The sequence below is a fragment of the Homo sapiens genome, chromosome 5, assembly GCF_000001405.40.
Source record: "Homo sapiens chromosome 5, GRCh38.p14 Primary Assembly".
NCBI classification, from domain to species: domain Eukaryota; kingdom Metazoa; phylum Chordata; class Mammalia; order Primates; family Hominidae; genus Homo; species Homo sapiens.
In genome coordinates, this window is record NC_000005.10 from 145,985,788 (window position 1) to 146,001,369 (window position 15,582).

The window sequence follows — 15,582 nt, forward strand, 5'->3', positions numbered from 1 at the left end:
GCCCAGGCATTTGAGACCAGCCTGAGCAATATAGCAAGACCCCATCTCTACAAAACAAAAATAAAAATTAGCTGGGCATGGTGGAGTGTGCCTGTAGTCCTGGCTATTTTGGAGGCTGAGGCAGGAGGATCTCTTGAGCCCAGGAGTTTGAGGCTTCAGTGAGCAATGATTGCACTGCTGCACTCCAGCCTGGGCAACAGAGCAAGACTTGTCTCAAATAAATAAATAAATAAATAAATAAATAAATAAATAAATAAATGTCTGTTATCGTTAGAGTTGGGAAGAATGGTAAAAATCATCTTCTTCACTTTGCAGTTGAGGAAACAGGCCCAGAGAGGTTCAGTACCTCATTCAAGGACACAGTGTATAAGTTGTAAATCACGTTCAGGGGCCACCTCCAGCCCCCAGGCCAGCTGGTTGCATTAGGAGAAACCTCCACGTCATTAGTCATTCCTCCTTCAGCTCCAAAAACCTCTCCGAGGAGAAAGCCGGGGTAGAGCAACCAGAGCTTTGCTTTTCCTCTAAGCCAGGGGAGAAGTAGTGGTGGGAGGGTTGTTTGACTCATTTTTTTCTCACTCTGCATGGTGTATTTGGCTCAGTTTCTCAAACCATATGGAAAAAGACTCACCCACCACGTGCCACACCTATTGGAAAAGCTCAATCTGGAAAGGGGGATAATTAAAGAGGGCAGAATTGCCTCCCAGGCCGAATGAGATGGCGCTTTCCCTCATCCTTCAGGCTCCCACGTACCCCTTGCCCTTCTCCACAGGTGCCCTGTGCCCTGGTGGAGAAGAGATGGTGACGGAAATCTTTTGCTTCCCTGGGGAGTTCAGTCCTATCCCATTGAACAGCTCTGGGCATTGGCATCTAGCCCATTTCAAAAACAATCCCAAGCTATTTATTGAGAACCAGCTTATGTTTGGAGCCAGGGATATGGCTCTAGACATATCTTGGATTACCTCCTAGGATAGGGAAATGAGATCACCTCAAAGAAATCTCAGGGAAATGTTTGGAGGAAAAAATGAAAATACGCCAATGGCAGCCCTGAAAAGGCACTACTGACTATAAGCAGCTCTTTCTCTGCCCAGGTGATGTAAACTCCTACTTCCTTCCCTTTTCCCTGCTGCAGAACCCTGGAACTGATGAAGGAGGGACCAGGAGATAAAGGCTGGCATATTCTGAGTGTTTGATAAATATTGGCTTGAAGAAGGAAGGAAGGGATGTCATGCCCACAGACTCAAAGTGGCAGGAGTTAGGTAAAGAAGGAAAAGGGAGCCTATGATGTCTTAGCATTCTACCAAAGACTGGAAGAAGAGAGGCCAAAGCAAAAGACTGAGGGGAGAGAAAGAGAGAGACACTTGCTAATATAGTCCAGGAATGAGAAAACAGGAAAATATTTTTTCTCTGTTTTACATTTTTTTCCATAAGTTATTGGGGTACAGGTGGTGTTTGGTTACATGCGTAAGTTCTTTAGGGGTGATTTGTGAGATTTGGGTGCACCCATCACCTGAGCAATATATACTGCACCTTATTTGAGTTCTTTTATCCCTCGCACCCTTCCCCCGAAGCCCCCAAAGTCTATTGTATCATTCTCATGCCTTTGCATCTTCATAGCTTAGCTCCCACATATCAGTGAGAACATACAACGGAGAAAACATTAAAATAAATAAAGAGAGAAACACATAACAAAAGTCACACGACATAACAGAATTTCAGATATAAATAAGCAGCTAATAAAGAGAATCTTCCCTACGTTGGGTTCCTTTCCATCCCTCAAGTCTCTGACCTCCCATGAGGTCATAACATAATTCTTTTCCTTCATCACGTTTACTCCAGCTTGCAATTATATATTTATGTGTGTTTATAAGTCTGATCTTTGTTTCCTCAACTAGATTGTAAGCTCCATGAAGGGTCTTGACCATACCTAGCATGGTCGGCACTCAAAAAAATATTTGTTGAAAGCAAAAAAGGAATGAATGATGACTAGAGCTGGGAAGTCAGACCAGAAGCTATAACAGCAGGCCTATTACCCCTCTCTCCTAAGCTTCCTTATTTATTGAGCACTTATTATTTTCCAGGCATTCCACTAAGTATTCTACATTGTTTATCACATTAATCGTCTCCAAAACCATGAGGAAGTGTGCTCAGGGGTCCCAAGATCACCTTCACTTTCAGTTATTCACTAGAAGGACTCACACAACTCAGCAAAGCCATTATACTCATGGTTATAGTTTATTCCAGTGAAAGAAAATAAGTTAGTCAGCAGTGGAAAAAGGCACATTAGGGCAGAGTCCAGGAGCTTCCATAAAGCTTCCAGTTGTCCTCTCCCAGTGGAGTCATGCAGACAGCATTTCTTTTTACCAGAGACTTGCTGTCCAGGATTTTACTGGAGATTTCATTGTGTGATGACATTTACCATCTCAGACCACCCATGTGGCTGCCCTCAGTCTCCAGCCCCTCCAGAGGTCAAGCTTCTACCGTTTGGCCCAGAGCCCCCACCATAAGTCACATTGTTAGCTTAGACTATCTCGTGTGACCCAAGGCCTCCAGGTAGACAAAATCTCTCTGATCAGCCAAAATATTCTAAGGACTTAGAGGTTATCTCCCAGGCAAGAGCCAAAACTTTTGTCAGAATATGCAGGGTTTGGATAACCCAGACTTGCTGAGTTTGCTGCACAGGGAAATAACAGTATTAGCCCCAATTTGTGGATGGTCCAAACTAAGGATCAGGGATGCTAAATGTTTTGGCCAAAGTTACAAAAGCCAGAATGCAAACCAACATCCCACTTGATTCTAACATGAGTTCTTAACTATTGCATCCTAGTACCTCTCCTGAAGTAAAGTTTTCTATGAAAAAAAACAAAAACAAAAAACTCACGCAGAGTGTCTTATAAAACTGGTCTCAAATCTGAATGTCGGATTTAGGGATTTCCACTTGGTAAGATCACTGTGAGCTTTCTGCTGATCTCAAGCACCCAGAAGTGGATCATCTGGGATTTGCCAAGGCCAGGTGGATCTGATCCTCCTGTTGGGTGAGCACTGGGGTTTGCATAGTGTCTCCCTCCTTATCAGAGAAGAGAAAACATACACAAGGGCTAACCAGCCCTTTCTAATATTTACTCTATTTCCCCCAACAAATCTGCTCCAAAAAGATTATCACTATGAGCGAAGGAGGCACAGTGGCTTCGTTGGTTAAGCAGCAACTACAAAGTTAGGGTACAGTACAATTTTTGACCCCTTACCTTATCAGTGGAGTGAACCCACAGGGAAAGTTACATTTCCCTTGCCCAGCATTCCCAAGACACGTGGGCTCTTCCAGCAAAGTGCCCCAGATGCAATTATGCAAATCATGTTCACAAAATAAAACTTCTGAAAAGCGAGTCAGCAAAGAAACCTGTGTGATTTTGCTGATTCAGTGATGCCTAACTTTTTGAGTATGGAACCTTTGTGTAAGTGTGTATAACACCAAATCATTAAAATTGGGGGATGTTTAGAAAACATGATGAAAACAATCCTTCTTTTCCCTAGCTCATCCAATAGATCTGCACTTGAGTAATTCTTATCAGCCATTTGTATTAACCTTGCATGCATTCTATGTATCTGAGAACAGTAATTCCTGAATGTTTTCAGAGCAATTCACTCATTCATTCATCAAGCGTTTCTTAAACACCTACTTGTGTACAGTGTTCAAAGATAGAGAGGCAGAGATGCTTCAGACACAAATCCTGAATTCTCCAGCAGCAGATAACTTAGCCTGGGAAATGATACATAACTTGAGTCAAAGGCCAGGATGGTTTTGGTTTTGGGCTGCATTCTCCAGTGATGGGCAATCTCATGACCAGCTCAGGGAAGTAAACCATTGATAAGCCATTAGCTCAGCATATTGATGTTGGTCCCACCTGATGCGAGGAGTAGAGAGAACCAGGCCAACCTTTCTAAATTGGTGGGAAGCATTGCCAGGGTGTGTCAAAGAGCTTATTACACAGTAGCAGGTTGAGTTCTCATCTCAGCTCTGCTTTTTCCCTTGTATGTGTCACTGTGGTTGATTCTACTCCACTTACATTCCTTTTCTTTTACCCTGTTATCAGCCTTTACCTCCCTTTATTTTTAAAATTGGAAATAAACTCAGGGCTCACTGGCAGCTGAACGTCCTGCTGTTTCTGAATTTTGCTATTTGGATATTACATTTTTATGAAGTTGGTTGTTTCTGGGTTTCAAATATGTGCTGGTTAGGACTGGTCCAGTTTCAAGTGTCAAAAAATAACTCCAAGTAATTTAAGTAATCAACAGTAAATTGGGGATATAGAGAATTGGAGATCTCATCTAACTGAATAACCAGGCACCATTTAATCTAGGAGTTCAGATTTTATTGTCAGGGCTCTAGCTATCTAGTTACCTATCTAGCTTGCTATATCTAGTTCTGCTGCCTTCTACAGCTTCTTTCAGGAAAGTGCGTCTACTGGTTGGGAAATATCACCAATATAATAGCCAACATTGAACTACACTATATTGCACTGGTGGTCCAAAGTCCACAACCTGAAGGCTCATAATTCAAAAGCAATAGAGATTATTTCTCAGTATCTGTATATCAAATCTCAGAGAAAATACTAATTATCCCTGATTGAGGCACATGCCTCATCACTGTGCTGAGGGTTTGGGATATTCTAACTGGCTAGCCTGGCCCACGTACCCTTGTGTGTATGATGTGGCCAGGGTGAATAACCTGCCTATCAGAAGGTAAGGAGAGAACAGGTGGTTCCTCACAGAAGGGGATGCTTGGCAAAGCAACAACATAATTTTATTGCTAAAGTGCCTGCAAGCTCTTGTCTCTGAAGCCTATGCATTATCTTTCTATCAAAATGATTCCTCTTGTGGCTTCCAGACCCTACTGAGGAGACAAATGAATAGGTGAATTACAAAAGCATAGAGTCTTGAGCTTTTTAAATATCAGAAAAGGAAAGCATTTTAGGTATACACAAGGAAAAAGAGTTTGGTGATGACCTGACTGTGAGATCTCCACACAAACTTTATTCCTGTGCCTTCTCGCCCCTGCATCTGTAGAGACAGAAAACAATGATGGGTGAGAAAAGCTAGTGCCAACAATACAACAGGTGAGAGCTAATGTTGAACTTGGAATCTTTTTCCCTTGAGAGAGCAGTGGGAGACTGGATAGAATCAACCAGCTGAGTCTCTTCAGATGCTTAACTTTTATGTGAGAGCTCTAGAGTTCAATAATTCATGCTATTACAACCAGCAGCAAGCAAATTGCATTCACATTCGATTCAGATTTTGATTACAAAACAGAGCCCCAAATGAGTTTTATGATGGAAAAACATGCTAGGTGACTTCAGGTGGATGGCAGACAATAAGAATGGTAAAAACACCCAGGCTTTCAGGTCAAACGAGCCTCAGCCAATCTTGGATCTGCCAATACACTGGCTGTGTGACCTTGTTTGGTGACATTTCCCATATCAGAACTTCTGTTTCCTCATCATAAAATAGGATAATACTATCTACTTCATAGGGTTTTGAGAGCATATGAATGAGATAATACATGGAAAGTGCAGTAGTGCAATAATGTAAGAAAAATGTCTGTGGCCTGGCAGAACCCCAATAAATGTTAATTTCCTTTCCTCTTCAGAGTCATTCACTCTCTCCCTCTCTCTTCCCCTTGCTCCACTGCTTCCTGCTTCCCTCTGCCCTGCTTTGCACTATGGAAGCCAATGTTTTCTGTGAGTATGAACATAGAAATGAGACTACCAGAGGAGGGATTATCCAAAACGGAGAAAAAGAAGAAAGAGGGTCTTCTTGTTAACAATAGAATCTATATATAATTCATTTGCACAATATTTATTTATGTTGAGGGGAGATGGAGAAAAGATGAAAATAGGCAATTAGTACTATTTTAGGGTTTCAAGGTTGAGGCACCTTCAAAGCAATTTGAGCATTTTGTGCAATTTTAGTTTAATATGCTCTCTCAGTAAGTCATTAAAATATGTAAGCTACTTGCACTGCAAATATCTTTCAGAAAAAAGAAAAGAAAGAAAGAAAGCTAGCAATTTACAAAGCCTATAGCCTATGTCAAAACTCCATTCATTGCCCCCATTTGAGTTAGAATAAGATATAGCTTAGACCTACAGTAGCATCAAACTTGGTGAGGGAGCTTGATAAAAATGCAGCTACTTGAATCCTACTCCAGGAGATTCTGATCAAATCAGTCAGGGGTGGGATCAAGGCATTCACATTTTTAACACCTCCCAGATTCTCATAGGGGGAAACCACAGATTATATTTTAAGAAACAGGCCTGGTGCAATGCCTCACGCCTATAATCCTAGCACTTTGGGAGGCCGAGGCAGGTGGATCACTTGACCTTAGGAGTTTGAGACCAGCCTGAACAACATGGTGAAACCCCGTCTCTGCAAAAAATACAAAAAAAATTAGCCAGGCGTGGTGGTGCACACCTGTAGTCACAGCTACTTGGGGGGCTGAGGCAGGAAGATCACTTAACCTGGGAGGTTGAGGCTACAGAGGCCAAGACCATGACACTGCACTCCAGCTTGGGTGACAAAGTGAGACCCTGTCTCAAAAAAAGAAAAAGAGAATTGCAGGCTTGGGCTTGGGGATACTGAGTTCAAATCCTAAATTCATTATTTTCTAGCTTTGTGAACTTGGGCAACTTTTAAATTTTTTGTATTAGTCTGTTTTCACACTGCTGATAAAGACATACCCAAGACTGGGCAATTTACAAAAGAAAAAGGTTTAATTGGACTTATAGTTCCACATGGCTGGGGAAGCCTCACAATCATGGCAGAAGGCAAGGAGGAGCATGTCACATCTTACATGGATGACAGCAGGGAGAGAGAGCTTGTGCAGGGGAACTCCTCTTTTTAAAACCATCAGATCTCATGAGACTTATTCACTATCATAAGAACAGCACAGGAAAGACTTGCCCCTGTGATTCAATTACCTCCCACTGGGTCCCTCCCACAACATGTGGGAATTCAAGATGAGATCTGGGCGGGGACAGAGCCAAATCATATCATTCTGCCCCTGGCCCCTCCCAAATCTCACGGCCTCACATTTCAAAACCAATCATGCCTTCACAACAGTCCCCCAAAGTCTTAACTCATTTCAGCATTAACTCAAAAGTCCATAGTCCAAAGTCTCATCCAAGACAAGGCAAGTCCCTTTCACCTACGAGCCTGTAAAATCAAAAGCAGGTTAGTAACTTACTAGATACAGTGGGGGTACAGGCATTGGGTGAATACAGCCATTTCAAATGGGAGAAATAGGCCAGAACAAAGGAGCTACAGGCCCCATGCAAGTCCAAAATCAAGTGGGGCAGTCAAATCTTAAAGCTTCCAAAATTATCTCCTTTGACTCTATGTCTCACATCCAGATCACGCTAATGCAAGAGGTAGGTTCCCATGGTCTTGGGCAGCTTGGGTACAGCCTTCCTCCCAGCTGCTTTACACAGGCTGATGTTGAGTGTCTGCAGCTTTTCCAGCACACAGTGAAAGCTGTCAGTGGATCTACCATTCTGTGGTCTGGAGGATGGTGGCCGTCTTCTCACAGCTCCACTAGGCAGTGCCCTAGTAGGGACTCTGTGGGGGGGCTCTGACCTCACATTTTCCTTCTGCATTGCCCTAGCAGAGGTTCTCCATGACAGCCCTGCCACTGCAGCAAAATTCTGCCTGGACATCCAGGTGTTTCCATACATCTTCTGAAATCTAGGCAGAGGTTCCCAAACCTCAATTCTTGACTTCTGTGTACTTGCAGGCTCAACACCAAGTGGAAGCTGCCAAGGCTTGAGGCTTGCACCCTTTGAAGTCATGGCCCAAACTCTATATTGGCTCCTTTCAGCCACAGCTGTAGCAGCTGAGACACAGGGCACCAAGTCCCTAGGCTGAACACAGCACGGGGACCCTGGGCCCGGCCCATGAAACCACTTTTTCCTCCTAGGCCTCCAGGCCTGTGATGGGAGGGGCTGCCATGAAGACCTCTGACATGCCCTGGAGACATGTTCCCACCACCCCCCTGTCGTCTTGGGGATTAACACTCAGCTTATTACTTATGCAAATATCTGCAGCCTGCAGCGGGCTTCAATTTCTCCTCAGAAAATGGGATTTTCTTTTCTATCACATTGTCAGACTGCAAATTTTCCCAACTTTTATGCTTAGTTTCCCTTATAAAACTGAATGCCTTTAACAGCACCCAAGTCACCTCTTGAATGCTTTGCTGCTTAGAAATTTCTTCCACCAGATACGCTAAATCAACTCTCTCAACTTCGAAGTTCTACAAATCTCTAGGGCAGGTGCAAAATGCTGCCAGTCTCTTTGCTGAAACATAACAAGAGTCACCTTTGCTCCAGTTCCCAACAAGTTTCTCATCTCCATCTGAGACCACCTCAGCCTGGACCTTATTGTTCATATCACTATCAGCATTTTTGTCAATGTCATTCAACAAGTCTCTAGGAAGTTCCAAACTTTCCCACATTTTGCTGTCTTCTTCTGAGCCCTCCAAATTTTTCCAACCTCTGCCTGTTACCCAGTTCCAAAGCTGCTTCCATATTTTCAGGTATCTTTTCAGCAACACCCCACTCTACTTGTACCAATTTATTGTATTAGTCCATTTTCATGTTACTGATAAAGACATGCCTGAGCCTGGGAAGAAAAGGAGGTTTAATTGGACTTACAGTTCCACATGGATGGGGAGGCCTCAGAATCATGGCAGGAGGTGAAAGGCAATTCTTACATGGCAGCAGCCAGAGAAAATGAGGAAGAAACAAAAGCGGAAACCCTTGATACACCCATCAGATCTCATGAGACTTTTATTCACAATCATGAGAACAGCACAGGAAAGATTTGCCCCCATGATTCAATTACCTCCCACCAGGCCCTTCCCAAACACGTGGGAATTCAAGTTGAGATTTGGGTGGGGACACAGCCAAACCATATCATTTTCTGATCCCCAGTTTTTTAATCTAAAAATTGACATTTGAAATAATACACACCTCAAAGATTGTTGTGAGAATTAGAGAGTGCTTAGCAAAGAGAATTAGAGCACTTAGCAAAGAATCTGGCACAAGAAAGAAGCACTCAGTAAAGGTTAGCTATTGATATTATCATTATGCAAATCTAAAGGGGCTTAGATCTTTTCTTCTTTATCTTCTCATTCTCCCTTTCTTTCCTTTTCTCTTTTCTGTTTTTCATAAATAATAAAAAAAAAGCCTCACAGTTCATTCAGCAAGGTGGAAGTTTATTTAGCTCTCCACCAAAAGTCTGGATGTGAAGTAATCCAGGATGGGTGTGGAAGCTCTGAAACCCAGGCCCCTTCCCTATTAGGTGTGGCCCTCGTCCTCAGTATTCAAGATGGCAGCTAGAGCTCTAGGGATCATGTCTGCATTCCACATAGCAAGATGGAGGAGAGGAAAAGAAAACTCCGGACGGATGCTTCCTAAAGGTTGCTTACTCCCACACTGGCCTGGACTTAATCACCAGAAAGGCTAAAAATGTGACCAATATTCCAGGTAGTCATGTACCCAGAAAAATGTGATATTACAATGGAAAATTGAGAGGAAGAAGTATGGAGGAACAATTATTGTTCCCTGATGTACCCAACCCCGGGGGTCTAACAGATTTGGGTCATTCCCCAGAAACCCATTCTCATCCAGCTTTTACGTGCTTATTTCTCAGGTAGGGAACACCTTCCCCAAAAAAGTTAGTTGCATAGTTTGCTTATCCTACTCAGCTTGGCTTACTTTCTAAATTCCTCTCATACCTTTTACCTCTCATCCACCAACTTCATTCATTTTCTAACTGTCCAATTTTAATAAGCAATACAATTATTTTATTATAGAAAAGTTAGAGAACACAGCTAAGCACTTAGAAAAAAAGCGTTTTTTCAATATTCAAAAATCTCACCACTTAGAGATAACCACTTCTAAAATATTGGCATATAGTCATCTAACATTTTCCCTAGATAAAAAACATACATATGTATTTATAATGAAAATCTAGTCTACATAATTATTCTTAACCTCTTCTGTTACACTTAATGGTATATTATCAGTAACGCTCAATATTATTAATTATAGAAAAACATCAATTTTAATGACTGCAAAGTTTTTCATTGTATGGGTATGGGTGTATAATAATTTATTCAACCAATTCCCTGTTTATTCCACAGCATTATGTTAAACCCCCTAGCACATATATCTTTGCTCATTTGTCCACCAGTTTCCTGGGGATGAGCTGTGTTCCTGTGGTTTTTTCACCCCTGGGGTCTCCTTACTTATCTGGGGACCAGCAGAAAAGGACACCTCCACCATTCCATCAGCAAAGTAATGTTGGGTCTTATCTCTACCACTAAGCTGCTCGGAATTCTTCTTTCAAATGATCATTGCGGATTCAGGAGATCCATGAAGACCTAAATTAATGCCTCTCTATACCCCACTGCATGAATAGCAAGATTATGAACAGCAAGACTGCTACAATGCGAGGTGATTACATAATCCCACTGCTTGGAAAAGCACAAAATAAAATACGACCTTAGGTGACTGAAGCACTTCCTCTTAGTCTGTTAGAACTTGCAGTTTACCCAGCAGACTTCGAGCAAGACTGGAGTGAGGCCATTTCTATGTGAAAAAAACAATTTCAATTAGTAAAAATGCATTTGACTGAAATAATTATTTAGACAACTGATTTGACAAACGATTATGCTTGAGCTGATTTTTTTTAAAAAACTGACGATTGATCTCTGACTAATTGTTTCTTTGTCTCAGCTGAGCTTCCTAATGATCCAAATGCTCATTTTATAAATGAATACAGTTTAAGAAAGATTAAGTAACTTAGCCATGATTACACAAAAGGAAAGAAGTAGAGCCAGAATTCAAAATCAGTATTCAGACCCAGAAAGAGTCACTGACTCCCATCTCATAGACGTAGAGTCAAGTTCACAGCCCTGTTCCTTGGGTAGTGATTAAGAAAAGGGGTTCCAGCATCAGGTAATCTGAGTTCATGTCCCATATCTGCCATTTCCCAGTTGTGTCATCTTATGCAAGTTAATAAACCACTCTGTGTCTCTGTCACCCTATCTTATAAATGGGGATGATGCGTGTCTATCTCCAAGGGCTGCCTAGATTAAATGAGATGATCCACATACACACTTAGCACATAGGAAGTGCTCGGTAATTAGTTATTAATGTTATGTAGGTGTCGTCTGAAAACCTTGGCCAAAAGGGTCATAGACATGGCGGTCATCAGGGTTCAGGTGTACATGTGAAGGTTTGTTACACAGGTAAACTCGTATCACGGGCATTTGTTGTGCAGGTTATTTCATCACCCAGCAATGAATGAGACTTCCTGTTGCTCCTCATTCTCCCCAGCATTTACCATTGTCAATGTCTCAGATTTTCACCCTGCTAGTAGATGGGAAAACTGACAACCATGCCTGCAAGTCTGATACATGCATCTGTAAATGTACATGGAACCAAAGAAGAGGAATCCAAAAAGCAGCTAGTGAAACCAGAGCAGCTCCCCGTATATACTGCACCACCGCTCCAGTCTAAATATGTTGAAGAGCAGCCTGGTCATTTATAAATGGGCTTTGCTTCCATCTACACTGCAACTGGTCATTATACTGGCTGGTGCAAGGATGTTTATGTCTTTGTGAAAAATGGGATAATGGATACAGTACAATTTGGGAAAGATGCTTATGTCTATCTGAAGAATCCTCCTCGAGATTTTCTTCCGAAAATGGGAGTTATTACGGTTTCAGGATTGGTGGGCTTGGTTTCAGCGAGAAAAGGTTTTAAGTTTAAGAAAATTACTTATCCTCTGGGACTGGCCACTTTATGAGCAACTGTTTGCTACCCAGTTCAGTCAGTAATAATTGCTAAGGTAACAGGGAAAAAGGTATATGCTACAAGCCAGCAAATTTTTGAAGCAGTTAAATCATTGTGGACAAAAAGCAGCAAAAAAAGAGTCACTCCCTAAACCTAAAGAAAAAAAATTAAGCTAGGATCCCCCGCCGAAATAGAAGTACCTGCAAAAACAACTCACATCTTGAAATGCTCAGTGCCCTTGCCAACAGAACTCAGCTCTGAAGCAAACACCAAATCAGAATCCACCTCAGGTGCTACACAGTTTATGCCTGACCCCAAGTTCATGGATCACAGGTGGTCCCACCCAGAACATATAGACAAGTATAGCACTGGAACCTGAAGCAGACTGCATAGAGAGACTACATAGAAAACTACAAGATGTATGAAGTTGCAAATAATGATGAAAAAAATCATGTAATGGGTAACTGATACATAGAGTATTATTTAAACCAAGTTTTTCCCTTACCTCTCCAAATGTGCAATTTGATAAATTGCATAAGTGGTTAACACACAAACTGTGAATGCAATGCAAACAATATTAAATGATTGATGAGGAGACTTAGGTAGAAGTATTAGCTTGAATTTAATGAGCTTTAGGGGCCCATAGTTAAAAAAAAAAAAAAAAAGACATGAACTCCAGTGAGACTAAAATCTGAAAATGCATATATGTATGTATAAAGACATACATATTTATATGTATAATCATATATTTCTGCTCTAGCTTTCCCTAATTAATGTCAGTTAAATTAGAATGGTGTGTAGAAAGATGTGTTTCCCTCTTTTTTTCCATTTCCTAGAGCTGGAATAAAATATCCATGTTTTATGGGAAAAAAAAGTATTATGCAGGTATGCCCCAGAGATAGTGTAGGTTCAGTTTTGGACCACCACAATAAAGCTAATACCATAATAAAGCAAGTCAAACACTTTTTTTTCATTTCCCAGTGCATATAAAAGTTGTATTTGGCTGGGCATGGTGGCTCACGCCTGTAATGCCCTTTGGGAGGCCAAGGTGGGTGGATCATGAGGTCAGGAGATCGAGACCATCCTGGCCAACATAGTGAAACCCCGTCTCCACCAAAAATACAAAAATTAGCCAGGTGTGGTGGTGTGCGCCTGTAATCCCAGCTAGTCGGGAGGCTGAGGCAGGAGAATCACTTGAACCCGGGAGGTGGAGGTTGCAGTGAGCTGAGATCACACCACTGGACTCCAGCCTGGCAACAGAGCAAGACTCCATCTCAGAAAGAAAAGAAAACAAAAAAGTTGTGTTTACACTATGCTGTAGTCTATTAAGTGTGCAATAGCATTATGCCTAAAAAACAATATATCTAACTTAATTTAAAATACTTTATTACTAAAAAAAAAACCTTAATGATGATCTGAGCCTTCAGCAAGTTGTAATCTTCTTGCTGGTGGTGGGTCTTGCCTCAATATTGATGGCTTGTTGCTTCACCTTGCATTTTTATGTTATAGAGACAGCTTCTCTTCTTAAACCTCAGACTATCTCTGCCAGCTTCAAACTTTTTTTCTGCAGCTTCCTCATCTCTCTCAGCCTTCATAGAATTAAAGAAAGTTAGGATCTTGATCTTGATTAGGCTTTGGCTTGAGGGTCTGTTGTGTCTGGTTTGATCTTCTACACAAACCAGTCAAACTTTCTCCATATCGGCAATAAGGCTGATTCACTTACTTATCATTTATGTATTCACTGCAGTAGCACTTCTGATTTCCTTCATGAACTTTTCTTTTGCATTCACAGCTTGACTGTTTGTCACAAGAGGCCTAGCTTTTGGCCTATCTCAGCTTTAGTCATGCCTTCCTCATTAAGATTAATCATTTCTAGCTTTTGATTTAAAGTGAGAGATGTGAAACTCTTCCTTTCACTTGAAAATTTGTAGGCAATTGTAGGGTCATTAATTGGCCTCATTTTAATATTTTTGTGTCTCAGAGAATAGGGAGGCCCAAGGAGAGGGAGAGAGATGGGAAAATGACCAGTTTGTGGAGCAGTCAGAACACAAACATTTATCGACGAAGTTTGCTGTCTTGTATGGGCAAAGTTTGTGGCGCCCCCCGAGACATTACAATAGTAACCTCAAAGATCACTGATTACAGATCACCATAGCAGATATAATAATAATGAAAGTTTAAAATATTTAAAGTTAATAACAGTTACCAGAATGTGACACAGAGACACAAAGTGAGCACATGGTGTTGGAAGAATGGCGCTGATAGACCTATTTAACACAGGTTGCCATAAACCTTTGATTTGTAAAAAACTCAGTATTTGCAAAGCATGTTAAAGCAAAGTACAATAAAAGGGGGAATGCTTGTATCTTCTGTTCCTCTAGACTCTAAGCTAAGTACATATCTTATTGGTCTGTGCCATTGCAGGTGCCTCGAGCAAAGGCCTTATGCAACTACAGAGGGCAGAATCCCGGTGACCTAAGGTTTAATAAGGGAGATATCATCCTTCTCCGGAGACAGCTTGATGAGAATTGGTACCAGGGGGAAATCAATGGCATCAGCGGGAACTTCCCAGCCAGCTCCGTGGAAGTCATCAAGCAGCTGCCCCAGCCGCCCCCGCTCTGCAGGGCCCTCTACAACTTCGACCTACGAGGCAAGGACAAGAGTGAGAACCAGGATTGCCTGACCTTCCTCAAGGTAGGATTCTGGGTGGCCACCAGAGTCACCTGGGACCACGTAGAGACCATAGCAGAACAGAGTTCCTTGTTTAATATTTGCTGATTTTAAAAAATTGTATTTTAAATATATTATATTATTGTTAATATTTTATTCATAAAAATATATTTTGTGCATAAATTACGTATGTATATATGTAGTGCATATATATGTAATATGTGTGTACAATTCAAACTACATGCACGTGAAATCTCTAGAGAAATCTACGAATAAGTGATAGAAGTCTGTAAGCCTTTTTTATTGTAATTACAAAAGTATTCACTCATTCATTCATTCATTTATCCTGAAACCATTGTAGAAACATTTGAAAATACAGATAAGCAAAACAAGGAAAATATTACACCACAATATAGATACAATCACTGTCAACAGCTTGAATAACACATTTGATTTATTCATTCTATCACTTTTGAGCATTTACTCCTTGAAGGCCCTGGGAATAGGACGTGAATAAGTCACAGTCTCTGCTCTCCTGGCAGAGTAATGGGAAGCACCGATACATGGACAGAAAATTAGAAACAATTTGATAACATGCTATGTAAAACTACAGCCTCTACCTCTTTATCATGTATGTGGCAGGGTATTCTTGCAACCAAGTTATGGTTACCTAATTCTACTCATTTACATTCTATCTTGTTGTAAACATCTCATTCAAAACACTCCAGACACACACAATAACATAATCGTGCCTTTCTACATAAATAACCTCTTACAAGATATATTTTTCAAACATTAATTACCCTAAGATTTCTTGTGCCTCTCTTTTTCATTAGATGATTCCCCACCATTTGCAATTAATGACAGTTGTACTAAAGTCTACACTACTTTAACTATCTGTATTCAGTATTTGTTATTCCATAAACATTCACATCTCTCATAGAAACCACAGTTGGAGTTATTTTCATTCTTGACTACTCGTGATAAGTAGATCAAATGTAAGTATAAAAAGTGGCACTGCTACAATAGCTTAGGCAAGGTGTTTCGTTTTACAAAATGTTTTTAT

General features: G+C 41.1%; 1 protein-coding gene, 1 long non-coding RNA gene and 1 pseudogene across 6 annotated transcripts in view, besides 1 other annotated feature; 2 read left to right on the forward strand and 1 right to left on the reverse strand.

Annotated features, from left to right (window-relative positions):
* LOC107986458 (uncharacterized) overlaps positions 1-15,582 on the reverse strand; it is a 131,758-nt gene that overhangs the window by 50,087 nt on the left and 66,089 nt on the right. The window contains exon 3 of the long non-coding RNA XR_001742913.2: positions 10,551-10,637. This is a non-coding gene — a long non-coding RNA (uncharacterized LOC107986458). The remainder of the gene's footprint in view (positions 1-10,550; positions 10,638-15,582) is intronic.
* Positions 1-15,582, forward strand: part of SH3RF2 (SH3 domain containing ring finger 2) — a 145,196-nt gene that overhangs the window by 49,210 nt on the left and 80,404 nt on the right. For all 5 annotated transcript variants that reach the window (XM_006714757.2, XM_011537568.3, XM_017009136.2 and 2 more), the window contains exon 3: positions 14,271-14,540. In XM_006714757.2, coding sequence (XP_006714820.1) covers positions 14,271-14,540 — 270 coding nt within the window. The remainder of the gene's footprint in view (positions 1-14,270; positions 14,541-15,582) is intronic.
* Positions 6,772-6,941: an enhancer, noted in NCBI's record as "experimental_80964 CRE fragment used in MPRA reporter constructs". NCBI's record gives its function as "activates a minimal promoter by MPRAs in K562 erythroleukemia cells, with activity observed for the non-introgressed 5:145372207 variant allele {active_cell/tissue: K562}" and the evidence as "EXISTENCE:reporter gene assay evidence [ECO:0000049][PMID:34662402]".
* LOC100431175 (apolipoprotein O like pseudogene) lies at positions 11,430-12,713 on the forward strand (annotated as a pseudogene).